We start from the raw sequence: 20,040 nt of genomic DNA on the forward strand, positions 1-20,040 counted from the left end.
CACTTTTAAAATATAATTAAGCGTTAAATTATGTGATGTGAACTCAAAGTACTGAAGCACTACCGGTGGAAAAAAAGTTCAATTAGGTCTTGTGTAGTCAGAAAAGACCAGATTAAGAGTGTCTCACGATCAGTGAGAGAGGAGACCACTCCTGGCAGGAAAGTGGCTGGGCCAAATGCAAGCCATCATCCCTAAATATATGGGGTATAAGGAGATGGCTCCAGTCACAGCAGAGGCTGTGGTTGAGATAGAAAAGAATATAAGCTTATAAAACACTGTAAAATAATCCACAATGTGTCAGCAAAAAATGAATATGCATATTGAAATTATTTTTCAAATTATTTAATGATCATCATGAATTCAGAATAATGTGATTGTTGCTGAATATACATTGATAATAGGTTCTGAACTTTCTGTAATGCTTTAGAGTTTCAAAGGTGTTTCTTTTACATTTCTGCATTTGATGCAATCAGCAGCACTCTGCAGTACAGGAAGCAGGCATTGAACATCTTTTTACAGGTTGTAAAATTCAGTCTCAGAAAGGTAAAGATCTTGTCTAGTTCGTTCCAGGGAGAGTTGCCAACTGCTAGCTTATTTCCTTCTTCATGATTCTGTGTTGTGGATAAATTCAGACTATATGCCTTCACCCCTTCATCTATCTCCACATTCCCATCATGGCAAAAGTCCACCGTATTGCAAATGAAGTAAACATCTTATTCACTTCTCCTTCAACAAACTTCTTGTCTCCTTCAGGGAGGCCAAATGAAAAGAAGATAAAGGGGAACTAATCTATTGAGCAGCTATGATTTGCCTCTAGCTTTAAATCACCATAAAATTTGTATATAAAGTATTATGTATAAAGCACATTTCTTTTACACATACATAAATGCATGCATTCACATACACATGCACAATGAAATAACACCAAAATCAGTCAAATAACTTCTGCAGGTATACACAGCCAGGTGATGGAAGAGAAATGGTGGTGGACTCAAATATGCTATACGTTTCCAAATAGTTCTTCAGAAAAGTATTTGTACACAGCTTTTTTATATAGGATAATTGAGAATGAACAAACTTATTTTTATACTATTTATATAACATTGTCATAGAATCAGTATTATGAAGAATCCGAAGCTGAGAGATGCTAATGCTTACACTCTTTTACATTATCACACATTACCTAAAACTTCGGAGTTGTAGTCTGAGGATAGCACACATGTTTGCTAAAGCCTTAGATAACATTAGTCTTCTAGGTACCAGTCATTTTGTATTTGCATAAGTAGCTACTTTGCTACTTATTACAATTAGAAGATATCTAATTGAGACATAGAAAATCTATGAACAAATGATAGCACGATGTTTTTTAATGCTGAAATCACCAAAGAACATATAGCTTTTGTTTGAAGAAAATATGCATTGACATTAGCATGGTGCCTGCCTATTGGTGGGGATTGAATACATGGGACTTACAGCACAAGAGTTTGTGGTGATTATGGTAATGAGGGTAACGGGTAAAGTTGAAATTAAGTTTATCCTTGAAGTAATCTATTTGCAGGAGAATAAGTTTTGTTCTCTCCCAGAAAATCAGGTGTTGGGGCAATAAAAGGATAAGGAGACTGAAACTGACCTTTAGTTTCCAGTTATATTTTGGTTTAATTTTACATGTTTCTCATTTGTGTGTCTGTATGTTCTTGATGAAAGAAAACATTAAGTCAGTGTAGTTTTAGAACACCTTAAGTTATTGTTATAACTACACAGTAATATATAGATATTTAAGACCAAAAGCAAAATTTCATGAAGTATTCCATTAAATTTGTTAATGTCCCCTATGTGGAAAGACATAAATAGAGTTTTAGTAGTTATGTTTAACTATATTGACTCCCTTGAGAATCCATCCACAATGGTCACCCCAATCTGTTCCCAAATCATTAAGCCAGTTATGCAAACATCAAGATTGTGTATAATTTGCAGATCCAAGAAGAGGATACTTTTTTTCTCTCTTCTTCTTTTTTTCCTTATTCCTCAGCCATCCTTCCTTCTATCTCCTCTATATTTTCTTTTGCATTGTCCTATTTTCCTCCATTTTACAATGTATGTGACTCTCCCTCTTCCTCTGGCTTTATCATTGTACAGGTCATAGTAGCCATTCATCTACCCCCAAATGCCAGAGAAGGTGAAACATACCCAGAGTGTGTAACTAGGATCTCTGTGCAAGGGCCAGATTTACAAGGCATAGACAGAAGGCTCCCAGACACTCTCCTGCTACTGTCTATCTTCTTTTTGCTTGTTGTTCTTGGATTCCTGGATTTTCTTTTAAATTATTGGTATTACTATCTATAGTGTTAAAAATGCTATAGTATATAATACACGCTAGCCTAGTTTGTATAGTCATTATTTACAGTTATGGGTTTTTGAGTCACAGACCTGGATGAATTTCTGAGTTCTCCTATTTACTAACTATATGAACTTTGCCGAGTTACCTAAATTCTGTAAATAGCTTATAGAGTTAATTAAACTAAAAAATGACATGTAACAATGGTATGTAGCCCATAGGCTTATTTTCATGGTGCTAAGTGTTGAAAACTTTGTTAAGTGTAGTTCGTGGACCTAATAATAGAACCTTCCCTTCAAAGATGTCCATGTCCTAATCCCCAGAACCAGTGAATACCTTACCTCACATAGAAAAAAACACTTCTAAAAGAAGACATTTATGCAGCCAAAAAACACGTGAAAAAATGCTCACCATCACTGGCCATCAGAGAAATGCAAATCAAAACCACAATGAGATACCATCTCACACCAGTTAGAATGGCAATCATTAAAAAGTCAGGAAACAACAGGTGCTGGAGAGGATGTGGAGAAATAGGAACACTTTTACACTGTTGGTGGGACTGTAAACTAGTTCAACCATTGTGGAAGTCAGTGTGGAGATTCCTTAGGGATCTAGAACTAGAAATACCATTTGGCCCAGCCATCCCATTACTGGGTATATACCCAAAGGACTATAAATCACGCTGCTATAAAGACACATGCACAAGTATGTTTATTGCGGCACTATTCACAATAGCAAAGACTTGGAACCAACCCGAATGTCCAACAATGATAGACTGGATTAAGAAAATGTGGCACATATACACCATGGAATACTATGCAGCCATAAAAAATGATGAGTTCATGTCCTTTATAGGGACATGGATGAAATTGGAAATCATCATTCTCAGTAAACTATCGCAAGGACAAAAAACCAAACACCGCATGTTCTCACTCATAGGTGGGAATTGAACAACGAGAACACATGGACACAGGAAGGGGAACATCACACTCTGGGGACTGTTGTGGGGTGGGGGGAGGGGGAAGGGATAGCACTAGGAGATATACCTAATGCTAGATGACGAGTTAATGGGTGCAGCACACCAGCATGGCACATGTATACATATGTAACTAACCTGCATATTGTGCACATGTACCCTAAAACTTAAAGTATAATAATAATACAATAAAATAAAGAAAAAAAAAAAACAGAAAAAAAGACTTCTCCCACGTGATTCAGTTAAAAATCTTGAGATGAAGAGGTTATCCCAGATTATTCAAATTGACCCAATGTGATCACAAGGATCCTAATAAGAGCACTGTGTAAGGGCCAAAGCCATAAAGAGAAGAGAAGTGGCAAAGGGAGCAGAAGCTGGAGTGATACACTTTGTAATGGAGGAAGGGGTCACTAGCCAAGGAATGTGAATGGCTTATAGAACTGGAAAAGGCAAGGAAATAGAATGGTCTCTAGAGATTCCACAATGAATGAAGCTCCCTAAACCCATGATTTTAGCCCATAAGACCCATTTCAGACTTCTGTTCTCCAGAACAGTAAGATAATATATTTAAAGTGTTTTAAGCCACTGAGTCCACAGTAATTTGTTATGGTGGCAACAGGGCACTAATACAATTCAAACATTCAGGACTCTGGAAGAAAGACTATAAGTAGAATGGCTGTCATCATTCTCTCCTTTCCCTTTCTATTTGTTGTTCACCATCTAAGCCTGGTTATTTATCTCCTTACCTACTTGCCTAAGGGAGAAATGGTGAGCAAAGGTGGAATAGACTGAGGGAGAACAAAAACAATATTTCATTTAGGTAGAGAATAGATTCTACAGTTGTCTTCATCTAAGAGAAGAGAAAAGAAATTAGAGACTTGAAATCAATAAATACATCATGAAAATAATGTTTATAAAAACAAAAGCAAGACATCCTTTGTTTTATTTTGTCATTACAAGATATCTAAACCTCACTCATTCCTCAACTCAACACAACCAGGGTTCTACCCGACCACTTCAACTGAAAAAATGTTCTTGCCAACATCTAATAAATGTCATTTCTAAATCTGAAATTATCTTCTTTCTCAACCCTAAAATGACATCAAACAAAATTGTACAAGACAAACAAGAAATAAATAACCTTGTCTCTGTCCTGTATTCACAATTTTGGAAAATTTAATTACCCTCAAAGTATAAGCCTTAGTATTTTCATCAACCATTTCCTCTCACCTCTCTTCAGGGTATTTTATCAGAGATATGTATCTTGAGTCTATTCCCCCCTCATTTTCCTCATCACTTCTTGCTTTAATATTTGCATTAAATATTTCCCTGGGACTGGCAGATGGCAATCTCTGCTTCCCTCACTTTAGCGACACTGTTGTCACACTTATCCATCCAAAACACAAATTTGACTGTGTTTAAAAATGTGGATGATGAAAATGGTTGTTTAAACATGAGCAGCATAGGAAGAACAACCATGTGATAAGTAACAGGTGCTGGCAGTAAACCAGGTGGGGATGGCAGAGCAGGGAAAGTTGAGGCACAGGGATGGTGTCAATGAATGAGTTGGATATGGGGGAGAGATTATTTAAGTGTATTTTGGACAAGAGAAGCAGGTTCTTCACTGTTTGAAAAGGGAGGTACATATAAGAGTGAAAACTAAAATGTATCCTAGAATGTTGAATTGATAGAGATATCAATATTAATTCATTATTTTTGATATAAACAAATAGATTTAGATGTATAGATATAGATATACACGTGTTTATGTCTATACATGTATTTCTATCCAGTGGCAAGACCTGGAAGAAGAGTCACCCCAGTGTTAATGGGGTGACACTCCTAATATCTTATGTTAAGAGTGTCACCCTAATATATAGGGGTAACTCTCCTAGCACCTAGGTATTGACTTCTAAATATGATGCTACTGGCCAGGGCTCCTTGGGGAAATGACTACATCGAGTGCTGAGGCAGAACAGGTGAAACATTAACTTGGAACATCTTACTGTGTCCCTAAGCAAAGCAGTGTCCCAAAGATGATTGTGACTTGTCAAATTCACAAGATAAAAACCCTTTTGAAAAGCCTGTTGCTGGTCAAATAGGGTGCAATTTGATTATCAAAATAAATAATGATCATAATAGGTTATAATCCTTTGATTAAATTAGGAATTGATTAGGCCATCTGGATATAAACAGATAGACATTTCAATAAGGAGATGTTTATATGGTATCCAAATATCTTCCAACAAAATACTTATTAAATTACATTGGGAAAAAGAGTTATTCTGCATTGAAGACATCTGGGAGAAACCACCTTAATCAGGTGATAAAAGACAACATCAGTATTATGGGAACAAATTGAAATTGGGTGCCACCTGATTGGATGCAACAAAAAGGACACTTGATCTCTTCTGCCAAAGTTGTACAACCTGGATCTAAACCTGAAGAAACATTAGACAAAGGCAAGTTGAGGACATTCTACAAAATAACTGGCCCAACATGTGTGATTGTGTCAATTTCATGATAATCAAGGAAAGGGTGAGAAAATATTCCACACTGAACAAAACTGAAAAGCATGACAACTGAATGCAGCACACGTTTTTGGACTCGAGCCCTTTGTTAAAAGAAACATTTTGGGGACCACCGGCAAAACTTGAATGGGGCCTACCAATTAAATACTAATATCATATCAATGTTACTTTCCTGATGTTGACGACAATATTATAGTTAGGCAGAAGAATGTCCTTATTTATAGTGAATATGCACTAAAATATTCGTTGGTAATGAGGCATCAAGTCAGCATCTTACCCTTAAAAGATTCAGAGAAAAATAATGTTCCTTGCACTGTACTTGAAATTTTACTGTATGTTTGACATTGTTTCAAAGTAAAACCTTTTAAAAATGTTTGATGGCCTTTTAATGCCCATGGACATAATTTTGCTACATTAATATGCCATTCTCATTCTGTCCATGCCTACCACTTTCTTTATGAAATATTTTATTTATCTTTATTCATGTTGGCTCTTTGTGAACTTCTAAGATGAATATCTTTGTGTGAGGTCTCAACTTTTCCAGAGTCTTACAGGCAAAGTAACTTGATGAAATCTTAATATGCTTAGCTTAAAACAAAGTATAGTTGACAAAAAAGAAAAGTATTGAAAAATCTTTCCCTGGGACAGAAACATTTTGTAGTTGTCTACTGTTTCTTGAAACCATCAGACCGTCCTACATGCCCTGTGCACCAGTTTGATGAAACACCTACCCTTTCCCTAAACATGCAATGTCCCCTGGGACTTTATGTTTTCATTCCTGGTTTTCCACATACCTGATAGCCCTTGCTTGTTGCCTCCGTATTTTAATCCCCTAATAGAGAATGTCTGCCCATCTTTCAAGATCATCAATCTCTCCAAGCCATAGAAAGTTCTTTTTGAATACTCCCATCCTGCTTTGTATATAACTGTATTATAACCCTATTATGTACTAAATTATGTGTTTATCAATTTGTCTTCCTGCACCAGAATATATGTCCTGGGAGATAAACTCATAACCATCCTGGTAATCCCCAATGATACTACAGTGCCTATCACATTGTAAACACTTACTGATAGACATTGACTGAACGAACGAGGTAAATCTTAAGAGAATTAATAAATCAAAAAAAAAAAAAAAGAATGAGCAGAAGTTGAATTCTAGTGAAAAACTATTAACCAATTTTGTTCTTTTTTTTTTGTTAAATGTGGGACCATGTGGTATTCCTGTGGTTTATGAAAGACTATCAATGTTGGATTTTTGTATGTTTTTGCTATGGTATCAGTGATTTGTTGTTTGTACAAAATGTCACATATTTAAATATTGTTATTTTGTTAGTATGTGAACGAAAATAATATGTAGTGGGAAGTTGGAAAGAATGAGAAAGGGGAGGCTGAAATATAAAGTGCTCATAAAATTTGAGGAAATACAAAATCAAACCAAGATGTTCACCCATCTCTATTTATAGTAGCAGTTAATATTCAATGACCTTTGTAACACTGGGAAGCCAAACATTCATAGTGTTGGCCTTTTGATAATTTGGGGTGAGAGGCAGGAAACTCACTAAAGATGTATGAGTTTATGCTACTCATGGTATCTCAAAAAATTACAAAGGATTTGCTTAGTAAAAACTTATTTGTATATACAATTGCATAATCGTTATAAAAATATGCTCAGTGTTTTTGGAAAATTTTATAACTGTCTCAAGAACACCAGGAAGACAGAATTTTATTTGTTCTTAGCTTAAGTCAAACATTTTGGCTATTCTAAGTGAAATAAGGCAGGCACAAAAAGACAAATACTGTATGATGTCACTTATATATGGAGTCTAAAAAAGCTGATCTCATAGAAACAGGGAGTAGAAATGTGGCTACCAGAGGCTGGGAAGGAAGAGGTGAGGTGGGGTGGGGAAAAGGAAAATGTTGACCAAAGGGTAAAAAGTTTCAGTTAGACTGGAGGACTAATTTTTAGTGAACAATTGCACTGCATGGTGACCACAATTAATAGTAATGTACTGTACTTTTCAAAATTACTAAAAGAATATATTATTAATGTTCTCGCCACAAAACAATGATAAGTTTGTGAAGTGATGAAGATGTTAATTGGCTTCATTGAATCTTTCTACGATGTATACATAGGTCAAAATATCACATTGTACCCCATAAAATACACAACTGTTATTTGTCAAGTAAAAATTTTAAAAACTTGAGAAAAATTTGGACAATGCTTTTGTTTAAAGTATATTTCTAACAGATAAAACTCCTACTTTTAAATATAAAATACTTTTTAAGCTCCTTTTGTAAAGGATTGAGTCTTTCTCATCTTTCTATATCTCTTTCTAACTCAAACACTGAACTGTGTAATTTCTAGGTTTTCATTCCAGAGTGACTAAATGAAAGTAAAACGACTTTTTTTTTTGAAAACAGCACAACACTTAGCCAACAATATTTATGTGACTTGAACTATTTCTTTGAGTTTTACAGCATCCCATTATTCCAGTATTTTTATCCTATAGGCATTAAAATACTAAAAAAGGTAAACATATGTTGATGCATACATAGGATATATTGTTTATATAAAATTTCAAAATGTATGTGTGAAGACAATGATTTTAGGGTTCCCTTTCTCTCTAATCTGAACCAGGATTACTATCTGAATAGTGAATTACTATTATTATTATTTGCATTAGAAAAATGATATGTTCCTAATCTTTTGAAGTGAGATTATTCAAGTTTAAATGTCTCCCTAAACCACACAGTGATGTTGAAAATGGAAGCTTTATACACATGTAGACTTTTCCAATAAAGCTTTGAAAAATCTTTAATAGGATGGGTGCAATGGCTCAAGCTTGTAATCCCAGCACTTTGGGAGGCCGAGGCAGGCAGAGCACGAGGCCAGGAGATCGAGATCATCCTAGCCAACACGGTGAAACCCCGTCTCTACTAAAAATAAAATTAGACGGGTGTGGTGGAGTGCGTCTGTTGTCCCAGCTATTCGGGAGGCTGAGGCAGGAGAATCGCTTGAACCCAGGAAATGGAGGTTGCATGCAGTGAGCCAACATCGCGCCACTGCACTCCAGCCTGACAACAGAGCGAGACTCCATCTCAAAAAAAAAGAAAAGAAAAGAAATATCTTTAATAAACATTCTCTTATTAACCCCTTTACAAGGGGTTGGTATGAATGTGGAGATGGTAAACTAATAAATCTATCAAAATAAAGAGAAAATCTATTTTATAAGAAAGCAATCTCCTGATGCGTCTTTTATTTGAAATTCATACTAATTAAATGTCAACTTTATGAATGTTATTAAATGGTGGAGAGTTATAAGAGTTTGAAATAGTGGGTCGAATCTCAGTTACTCCATAATTTTTCTGTTTTGTAGGGAATATTCGTATCCAACCTGACCTCCTCATAGGGTTGTTATGAAGATCAAACACATACAAACATTCTCTGTAAATTCTCACTTTAAAATATCAACAGAAACCAGTTCAGAAAAATAGAGAAATATTCTATATAAGCTACCAGTCAATGCTTAGCAGGAATTCGGAGGATTTGTGCTTATGTTTTGGCAATCCAAAGGTTTCCTTGTATCCACCTTTGCTTTTTAAAATTATTCTTCCCATCTTAGTGGAGCGGCTTGATACCCCACCTAAAAAGCCCTTTAAGAGCTTTCCATCTTTCTTTGCACTTAATAACAGTATATTGAAGAAGAAAGGGCTCCCAGGACACAGCTGGCCTCCCCTGGGGGGAGCTGGCAACCTGGGGTTGCCTTCCACTCTGCTCGCCCTCACTGTACCCTAATCCCACCCCATTCGTCTTCCTCCCGTCCTCGGAGGCTTTCCCACTGCACTACCTTTACCTGTGCGATGCTGCATTTCTCCCCTGCCTAAAGTGCTCTTCCTGTAACTTCCTTGCCACTCAAATGTAATAAACACATCCTTCCCTACATTCTTTCTCACCTTCAGGATCCCATTACTTCATTCCATTATCCTTCACTGAGTCTGACACCAGGTGTCAACCTATTCGCCTTTATAAGATCTCGTAGCCTGATTCTATTTGGCCCAGTGTAACACTTTTAAAAGCGCAATTCTATTTCTGGTTGTATAATTATTTCATTCACATATATCTTCCCCTCTAAATTGTAACCTCCACGTGAACAATGACTTTGTTGTTCATCGGTACATCTCCAGTTACAAGTGCCATTACCTGACACTAAATAAGTATTAGTTGAACAAATAAATTTGAGACAAAAGTGGGATACCAAAGTGCATAACACATTTAATCATGTTTCCTGATAAACTCTCAAGCTAAAGTTGAGGACCTATTGTTTACTTCTGAAAAGGCTCAATCTACTACCAAAAAGGATAAAGTGGCCACTCTCTATATTGCTTTGGGTTAGACAACTTTGAATTAAGGTGTGACAAGAGATGATCTAGCTAATTCATTAATTTTCCCAAATGTATGCTTTTATGATACCTGGAACATTTCCTCTCTGATATTATTTAAAAAAGTGATAGAAAAATTTCACAGTGCAATTTTATTGCGCAGATGGAGAAAGTGAGGAAGAATGAGTTAATTAAAATATTTTACCCTTAAAAATGAATCCAATATAGTGGTATTTACAATCAGCTTCTGTTGATAAATGATAATAGAAAGAAATAATGTAGTTTACCTGAATCTGTACATAATACAAATTACTTTTTCTTGTTTGAAATTTAGGATAATTGTTTCAAAATTTTAGAAAATCCTATTTTGTTTTGCTAAAGAAAATATTAAAATCCGTTTGTTTCTTGTTTGTACATCAATTACTAATAGTCTACTACTATGAGAAGGCATATTGGATGTTAAAGAAATCCTACAATGAAAAATCCACTGAAATAACTGTCATATATAATGCCTTACAGAAATACAAAATTCTTCTTGTATCAGAAAAGAACAATAGAGTATAGTCTGGATTCTGAGCTTTAGGCAGATCACCCAGTTCCCTGAGCCACTGTTTCCTCATCTTTATTCCAGGATTGTATGAGCCATTGGGTTGAGGTAATAAAAACCCACCAAACCAGAATAAAATAAGGCAAAATGACTATTCTACTGCATGTGTTAGAAAGGAAATTATCATCACTCAGATTTCTCATTGATTTTACATAAAAAGAAGAAAAAGTCTATTGTGACAGATCATGTACATCTTTCCATATCTGATTTATTTTATTTCCCCCAAGCTTCAACTCCACACATTCACTCAGATCTAATGCAATCCCCAAGGAACTACCTTATTTCAGTCTCTACTGAGATCAGATCAGCCCCTGCAGGACCCCTTTCAGTGAAACAGAAGATAAGTGTACTTGATTTTCCCCTAGTTAGCTGCATATAGACAATTGAAGATTTAGTATTAGGATTCTGATTAACTTGGAGACAAAAAATTTTACCTTATTTGTATATTTGCATATTGTTGAAAAAACACTTGATTCTATCAATTTATTGGTAATCAACACCAATACCATTTTTTAATTTAAAAACTTTTAAATATTCTTTAAGAAAAATCACTCTATACATTTTAAACAACAATGATAAGAATGATACCCATGTGGGTAAGAGTGAGTTTCTCTTCATTTCCTTAAACATTAACTTAAACTAATTCTCAAAAAAGCCTGTCCTTTAAAAAGAGAGAAACTAAGCTGTTCAGAATAGGTAAGTCATACGTGCATTTACATCTTCCCTTTACCAAAGAATTCAATGAATAGTGTGGAATGGTAAATCCTAACAATTATAGGTAAGACTTGGTCCACATTAGTCATTCCTCATAATACATTAAGAAACTTCAGTACATTTAGCCATGATTTATATCCAGAATTGAACCTTAATATTTCTTTGATTATAAACTAGATCAATGCACTTCTCAATAGCAAAGTTTATTTGTATGTTACATTGGATGTAGCAAAATTCTTTAACTTATATTTTAACCATTTAAAACTCAAACCCATAGTATTAATATTTTTATAGAAAAACAAGAAGGCATATGCTTTTGATTTCAGTATTATGCTCAATACAGTTTCTTTCAGATAAGTTCCTGAACACATTTGGGGTTATTTGGGGTTAGAAGCTGTTGTAAGGGGATGAGGGTAAGCTGATGTATTTTTAAGGTGCAGTGGTGTGGCAAAGGGCTTCACAACTAGGTTTATTTGTGACACCATTGTTTCTGACATCTGGGTGAGACGTCATTAGTGTTGTCGGCGCTGTTGTTGCCGTGGCTGCTGCTGTTTTTGCTGGTATTCCTATAGACGGGCCACTGTGCTGACCATGCACTGAGTCCTATGGAAGGAAGTCCAGGATTATTTTGGGACAGCCCTTCAAGGTGCAAATGGAGTGGCCCCTCATCTTCCTTATTCTAGCTACATGGACTTTCAATTCCATCCTGGTAGCGGCGGCCAGAGGAGGCGGGGGGAATGCCCTACTACATGTTGTTTATGATTTTGTTGCATTAGTTGGTTTCTTTTATTAAACCAGATACAAGTTGTGACATGCTGTTAATTCAATCATTAATAACTAGCTCAAATTGCAATTCTATGTCAGCAGGTTGGTGTTGATTAAGATGTAGCCGTCGCTAGCATATTGTTTTAAATGCTTGATAAATTTTATTTTCTGCAATGATGACTGGGTTGGCTTATTTTTTTTCCCCCTTTTCTCTCTAAGCCAAAAGAATTACACAAATGTCCCTCTGTGGGTCCTCTGAAGATCTCGGCATTCCCTGTGCTGCAAGGCGGGCTGGTAACCACTAGAGGGGAGGAGACAGCCGGATTTATTGAAGGCCTCACCACAGAAACTGATGGTGGGGAAGCTGTCAGAGGACGAGATGCCAAGCAAAAGGGTTTAAGTATATTATAAAGGTCCCCAAAAATGGAAAAAAAAATAGGCTTCTTAAAGTATGCAAGAAATTTGCTTCTAATAAATTTGAAATGACTGGGAAGGTAGTTAGAATGCTAGAATGTGGTTACCTGTTAACCCGTAGTCTTAAGCATTAGCAAGATGATCTATGAAATCAGAGTTAACCCTTATGAAAATAAATGGCTCTCTCCTTAGGCCTATAGCTAATGCACATACAAGTTAGGAAAAGTAGCTATAGGGGAAGGATGAGGGAGGGAATCAAAGATGATTTGGCTGTTCAGGGTAAAGTGGAAACTCAGCGTATAGCTCATTTTCTAAAGTATTCTAACACCTGCCCCCTCTTCCCATCACTTTAAATCCCTTCACTCCATTGCTAAAAGGGGAATAGAGAAAGAGACATCACAGATAGTAAAATATTGATATAGTAAACAAAGAGAGAGGGGGCAGAGGAGAGAAACTTTATTTAACCTTCCTGATCATTCCAAAGTACAATATCCTAATGCGGGTAACTTAAATAAAAAATAGTCATCCAGGATTTATGAGGTAGCATATATACCATGTGAGCATTATTTTTGTTGATTTTTAAAATCCAACTTGACCTTTTTAATCTTTCATTTAAAAAAATAAAATATACTTAATATTAGTATTGTTAAAGCACTATAATGTAGAACTAGAGGTTGTTCTATGTACTCTCCTGAGTGTAATTGCACTAAGATCATTCAGTTTCCATTTGGAAAGCCAGTGGCAATTACTGGAATACAATGTATCATGCATTTGCTCACTGGATATAAAATGTATATACTAATTCGCAATAAAATGTAACAGCTGTCAGTGCATTTTCTGCTCTGTTACTTCAATAAATTGGAACTCTGACTAGAAAATGGGAATATTGCATTTTTACACACTCTGTAATGTGTTTGCTTTTTGCAAATACAATTTATTTTTTTCATGGCAAAAATTGTGGTTTGTTATTACTGCTAGTGGATAAATATTCCTATATCAGAATGAATTACATATGGTATCTGTAAAGAAGTAGTAATATTTTCTGCTTTTTATTGTAGCCTGTCTCCAGTAAACAAAATACACTTAACCTACTTCTGTCACACACTGAGTGTGTGCGTGTTGTTTTATCTTTTTTTTTCCTTTTTTTTTTTCTTCATTGTAATGTGTGTGTGTGTTGGGGATAGGGAAAGAAAGTAAAAGTTTATTTTTTACTGTACATTCTCAGGTGTCTGAGTTGATCGTTAACATTTATTTCCAGATATTATCAATTTCCTTCAGAGCTTATTTTTGTTGAAGTTTCAAATCTCTTCTTTCATACATTTGCTAATCAGATTTCTTTAGAATCGGAAGCAGTGTCTCTGAGTTTTATTTAAAATAAAATGCCTGCACATTTCTGTAATTTTGTTACTTGAGGTCAGACTTTTCACAGATAATTAGCCTTTTACACACTGTGAAATCAACCTGCATTGGTTATTTGGCTAGACTCTTTGCTTCTGTTCTTATTTCCCAGAAGGTTAACGTGCTGAAAATCTAGCTTCAAGCTCATAGTACTGTCTCTTTGTGTTGCTAATTATCCCGTTGCATAATTATTAATATCAGGAGCAGGAAGAGGAAACAAGCACACCAAATAGTCGTGAATGCTGGTGTTCTGGCAGGAAGCAAGCCCTGCATTAATAAAATGTGCCTGTGCCAATATCACAGGAGATAGGAGCGTTCCTTGTTAAGGATCATTTATTAACTGAGATCATCTTTTAGTTCGCCTTGGGGTAATGACTAATGTCAATGGCAAATTTCACAGTTGTCTAGAGAAATGAATTAAATTTGTAATAAAAAGCCCTTCGGCTTGTTGTACATGTTCATTTATTGGAGTAGTTGAACTAGGAGAACTGTAAGGCAACCAAGAACATCGGCTTAATTTTCCTTACATATAATAGTGACCTTTAGCTCCATATTGAAAAAGTTACCTATTATGGACTGGTAAATTAAATGAGAAGTTCCTCTAATGCAAAATAAACTAGATGACTGAGCTAAGTTAAACGGCCTTTGAGCCTATGAGATTCTTGGTAGAAAAATATTCTTTCTTTTTTTAATATGACTTTTCTATTTAAGCATTTATAAAATTAGTCACTTGACATATAAGCAAGAGAATAAGATAATTCAAAGTGAGATTTCACAAAGAGTTACACCTACTTACATTACTACAACTTCTTTGGGTGGTTTCATTTTGTGTTCTGATGCAGAGTTTTTAAAAGTGTTGTTTTAACATTCCTTAATTCTAAATATACAGCGTGTTTTTTTTATTTACTTGGCATAACATGTTGTTACTGTAATTATTTATAGAAGTTTTTGTGTTGCTTTATGTAGTTAAGGAAAAGCATATTTCCCAGGAGGAAGAACAATTACACCACTGTCTCTTTTTCTGTTTTAGAAAGACTAATTCTGGATTCCTTTTCTGAGAGTGAATTGGACTTGGAAAACGATAATTACTTTTAAAACAAGCATGATGACCAAGCATGGTATTCTCATTTTATAGTAGAAAATATAGAAGCGCCAGTCTTCTTATGCAATCTGTTATCTATACCGTAGTGCACTCGAAACAAATTATCCTAATCAAGGCACCAGCCCAGCTAAGGATAGCAAGTGAAAAATGGACACTATTTTCAGGGAGTAAAGACAATTGCAATATTTATACAAATCAAAATGTAATATTTCTTTCAGAGAGGTAAATTCTCATCACATATTTTAAAACTTTAAGGTAATGTCTCAATATTTTCACCTCGAAATCATATTAGTGAAACATATTCACAGTCTTACAAAGCTTCATTCCCATTTACAGTGGGACTGACCATACTCAGACAAATACACACATGTGCACTACATGCCCTCCCACACTAGATGTGTTGCTGAAGATGAATAAAAATATCTGTGAGACTCATGGAAGATAAAAACAATAATAAAAAGACACAATCAGAAGTATGGTTAATTTTAGTTGCCCTTGTTTTTAAACACGTATGAAAATGCCTGCTTGAAGCTTATGCCTTCCAAAATTACAGGCTTATGGAACTATGACAAAATGCTGATTTTTTTCTCAATTGTAATTAATTTTCCAATTACTTATGTTTATGTGTCCTCTTTTGAACCTAATATTCTATCTATGTTATACCAGCCGTTGTATCATCTACAAATGGGTGGAGTTGCCCCCAAATTATTTTGTCTCTCTGGCTTATTAGGTGTGCTATGGGGTGTACTATATGCTTATTCATGACGTAGGAGAACCCAAGAAATATGGACATCTTTTTCTCCTTAATGCAGATGCTCACAGCATTCTAATAAGGCCAGGAAAAGAGTTCCCAGTCCCCTTTTACCCACTCTCTCACCTCAGCCCTTTTCAGCACGTAACCTTATTCTCTGTGGGATTACTTGGATGAAAACCAATTAGGGAGCAGCTCGCAATATAAATGCATACAGATTACTGCAGATTGAACATTCCCCATGCCAACTCATCATAGAGTATATAATGCCCTGAATGGGATAAATATTAAAGAGTTGAACGGAAATAGACACAAAATATTGAGAAAAGACTCTGAATGCCAAATCAGGTCTAATAAAATATATTAACTAAAAGTGTGGACTTCTCTTCACCCCACCTCCCACGGCCCTCCTGTTCTCTGCTTTTTGTGGAGATAGGCCCACAGGCCTCCTGAAGTGTGTTCTCCTCCGCTAATCCTTCCACAATGGTCCACATGAGTTTCTGAGGGGTCCCTCATGCCCTTCATTCTATGTCTGTCAATTTCTGTCTAATAAGCCAGTCTCCCTCCCTGCTTCTTCCAGAGGGCCTCATTCTCAAGCTGGGAGGGGACAGCTGTCTCAAAGGCCTGGACAGCTCTAAGAATTACTGAATGGGCAAATCAGTATTTAGCGACCATGCTTTTGAGCATGCTTATTGGAATAAGTGCAGCAAAAAAACCGGCAGGGGAGGGAAATGTATAAAGGTCCTCCAGTTAGGACTTCTGGGACGTGGTTTGGAAGGCTAACTTGGAGTCCCAGAGAAACTGCAACCAAAGTTAATGATTAATGTAACACTTTTGAATGATAGAGTGATGGCGATCAGCTTGGAAGCTTTTTTTTTTTTTTTTTTCAGTAACCAGAGGGAGCAAAGGGGTTTTTCTCTTTCTCTCCACACCTCTCTCAATGTAATTGTCTTTCCATGCTCTCTCTCTCCACTTCCATTAATTAGAATATATTGACAGTGTGCAAGCTAAACACACTAAAACATTAAGGTTATACCAATACTTTTTGGTTACATATTCAGACCTTTTTTTTTCCTCCCTTAGATCTGTCTCCCTAATGATATTGCATATGCTAACTTCTTACTCAGATAGAAAGAAACATTCCCAGACTTCATGTGGACTATTTGATTCCTGGGCATAAAGTTCCTATTAAAGTGGACCCAAGTTTCATGATCCTAGGTATAGAGTGAAATGAATCACTGTGCATAATTAATCATCATCATTATTCACTCAGTTCTTTCCATTGGCCCTTTGTGAGAAGTCCAGCGAGTCATAAATCCAAGAGGATGGGGAGTTTATTCAAAAGTGATTGAAAGAGTCTGCAGGTTTTGGCCAAAGACTGGTGTGGCCCCTTTGAACTTACACCTTTCTCTTCTCCATTTTTCAGTTTCCACCTATGGCTTCACTTGGCAGGTCACAAGCTAAAATGCTTTTCATGGGATCAAAATCTGTGACCATTGCAAATTAGAATACTGGAAGGAAGAGGCGAATATACTATTTTTTCCATACACTGTAGTATTAAAATGACATTTCTAAGTGTTTTAAATAGCTAAGTGGGAAGATGTTACCTGAAAACAGAATTGTTCTTACGAAGTTGTATCTCAGGAGAATAGAGCTTTATGACTAATGAAACTCTATAAAGAAAATTCTGGGGTTAGAGACACAAAATATATGTTTTTCACACCCTTTTCTTTCACTACATACTCTTTTTTTTTTTTTTTTTTTTTTTTTTTTTTTTCCCTATTACTCAGCATCACTCCTTTGACCACGACAGGGAAGATCCACTGGGAAGGATCTGAACTCTAGAATCTAACTTTCTGGAATCATGTTTCTAACTCTATCACTAACTCTCCACATGAACTTGAGCAATTTACTAAACTTCTCTGTGCCTTAGTGTCTCTTTCATAAAGATGGAAATAAAAGTAGTTGCAGCCGGACGTGGTGGCTCACGCCTGCAATCCTAACACTTTGGAGGCTTAGGCGGGTGGATCGCAAGGTCAAGAGATTGAGACCATCCTGGCTAACATGGTGAAACCCCATCTCTACTAAAAATACAAAGATTAGCCGGGCATGGTCGCACATGCCTGTAGTCTCAGCTACTTGGGAGGTTGAGGCAGGAGAATCACTTGAATCTGGGAGGTGGAGGCTGCAGTGAGCCGAGATAGCACCACTGTACTCCAGCCTGGCGACAGAGCGAGATTCTGTCTCAAAAAAAATTAATAAATAAATAAAAATAAATTTAAAAAAATAAAAAATAAATAAAATAAAAAAGTAGTTTCCAATATATCAAGACTAAAGAAAGAGGGGCTCAGGGCAGTGCTGGGCACAAAATAAGTGTGTGATAAATGTCAAGTCTTATTGTTTTTGTTGACAAAGAAAGAAGCAAGGCATAGGTGCCTACAATTGTTATTTAAATTTTTGGGGTAACCTATAGACAATGCAATAACTCAATAAAAGTAAATAAGTGTTCTATATAATAAAAGAGAGAAATAAAATTTTTTGATTATCTGTATTTAATAGATATTACCAAGAGTGCTTAAGTAAATCAAGTAGAAACTGTACAATCAGTTAATATTTTTACTGAGATGGAGTTGACACTAAATATACAAAATCAAAAAACTGATTTATAGAACTAGTGATAAAAACATGTACAGCTTTGGGGAAGGGAAAATCACATTCATTCACAAGCACATTTAGTAACAAATAATTAAGTCTTAAAGGAAGAACACTAAAAATATTGTCAGGACATCAAGAAGTCTTGAAAACATGGAGGTGTCAATCAAAAAATCTTGTATAAAATTGAAAGTGTACAAAATTAAACTTACAAATACAATTATTTCTAAGTTAAATATATAAGTACAATAAAATTTCAATAACAACAAAAATAGTGGATTATTTTAAGATTAACCAAAAAATTTCAAAAAGTAAATTAAGATAAAAAAGCAAATAAAAGTTTGAAATAGAAGAATTATATGAGGGTTTAGCAGTATCAGCTACTAAAGTATGTTATAAAGCTACAATAAGTTAAACAGTGTGGTAGTAGAGGAAGTAGAACAAAGATAAATAAGTGCAAGAGAAAGTTCAGAAACATGATGAATGAATGTATTCAACTTAGTCATAGTTTAAATTAACATAGACAGAAAGAGTTAATAACTACCACTGGAATAATTGATTAATTTATTTCCCATAGGAGTAGGGTCACAGAATATGAATAACAATTCACAAATGAAGAAGTCAAAGGGCATGCAAAATAAAGCTACAATATCTACATTTTGCCTATCCAAAAAAAAAAAAAGTAATACAAGAACTTTAAAACTGTTTCAGGTGGCCTAGAGTATAAGGAAGCAAGGCTTGTCATATAGTTCTGATGTAAATGTTAATTAATAAAAAGCCTTTGGTAGGGCAACTCAGCAATACATATCAGCAGTCTTAAAAATGCTTATTCTGCTCGGCAGAGTATTTCCACTTTTAATAATTTATTCTGAGAAATTTACTAGAAATAGAAACAAAATATTATTTATAAATATTCACCCAAAATTTATGTAATAACATAAAATTAAGAAAACCATACAAATTACCAGCAAGAAGGTATTTTTTTAAAGTATAGCATACTTGTAAGTTGGCTTGCAAGTTGTAGCATTTAAACAATGTCACTGCACAGTATTTAAAACATGGAAAATTATTATAATGAATTGATACTCCTAAATATCTATTATTATTATTATTATTATTATTATTATTATTATTATTATTATTTTTGAGAGAGAGAGAGTCTTGCTCTGTCACCAGGATGGAGTGCAGTGGCACAATCTCAGCTCACTGCAACCTCCACCTCCCAGGTTCAAGCAATTCTCCTGCCTCAGCCTCCAAAGTAGCTGAGACTACAGTCATGTGCCACCACGCCCAGCTAATTTTTGTATTTTTAGTAGAGAAGGAGTTTCACCATGTTGGCCAGGATAGTCTCGATCTCTTGACATCGTGATCCACCTGCCTCAGCATCCCAAAGTGCTGGGATCACAGGCATG

The 20,040-nt window shown here is 35.4% G+C and overlaps 1 long non-coding RNA gene across 1 annotated transcript in view, besides 1 other annotated feature; it reads left to right on the plus strand.

The window, feature by feature from the left end:
- LINC01965 (long intergenic non-protein coding RNA 1965) overlaps positions 1 to 20,040 on the plus strand; it is a 205,982-nt gene that overhangs the window by 72,475 nt on the left and 113,467 nt on the right. The window lies entirely within an intron of this gene.
- Positions 14,935 to 17,267: an enhancer, noted in NCBI's record as "VISTA enhancer hs1529". NCBI's record gives its function as "enhancer in: forebrain[4/4]" and the evidence as "EXISTENCE:transgenic organism evidence [ECO:0001131][PMID:17130149]".

The sequence above is a fragment of the Homo sapiens genome, chromosome 2, assembly GCF_000001405.40.
Source record: "Homo sapiens chromosome 2, GRCh38.p14 Primary Assembly".
Taxonomy (NCBI): domain Eukaryota; kingdom Metazoa; phylum Chordata; class Mammalia; order Primates; family Hominidae; genus Homo; species Homo sapiens.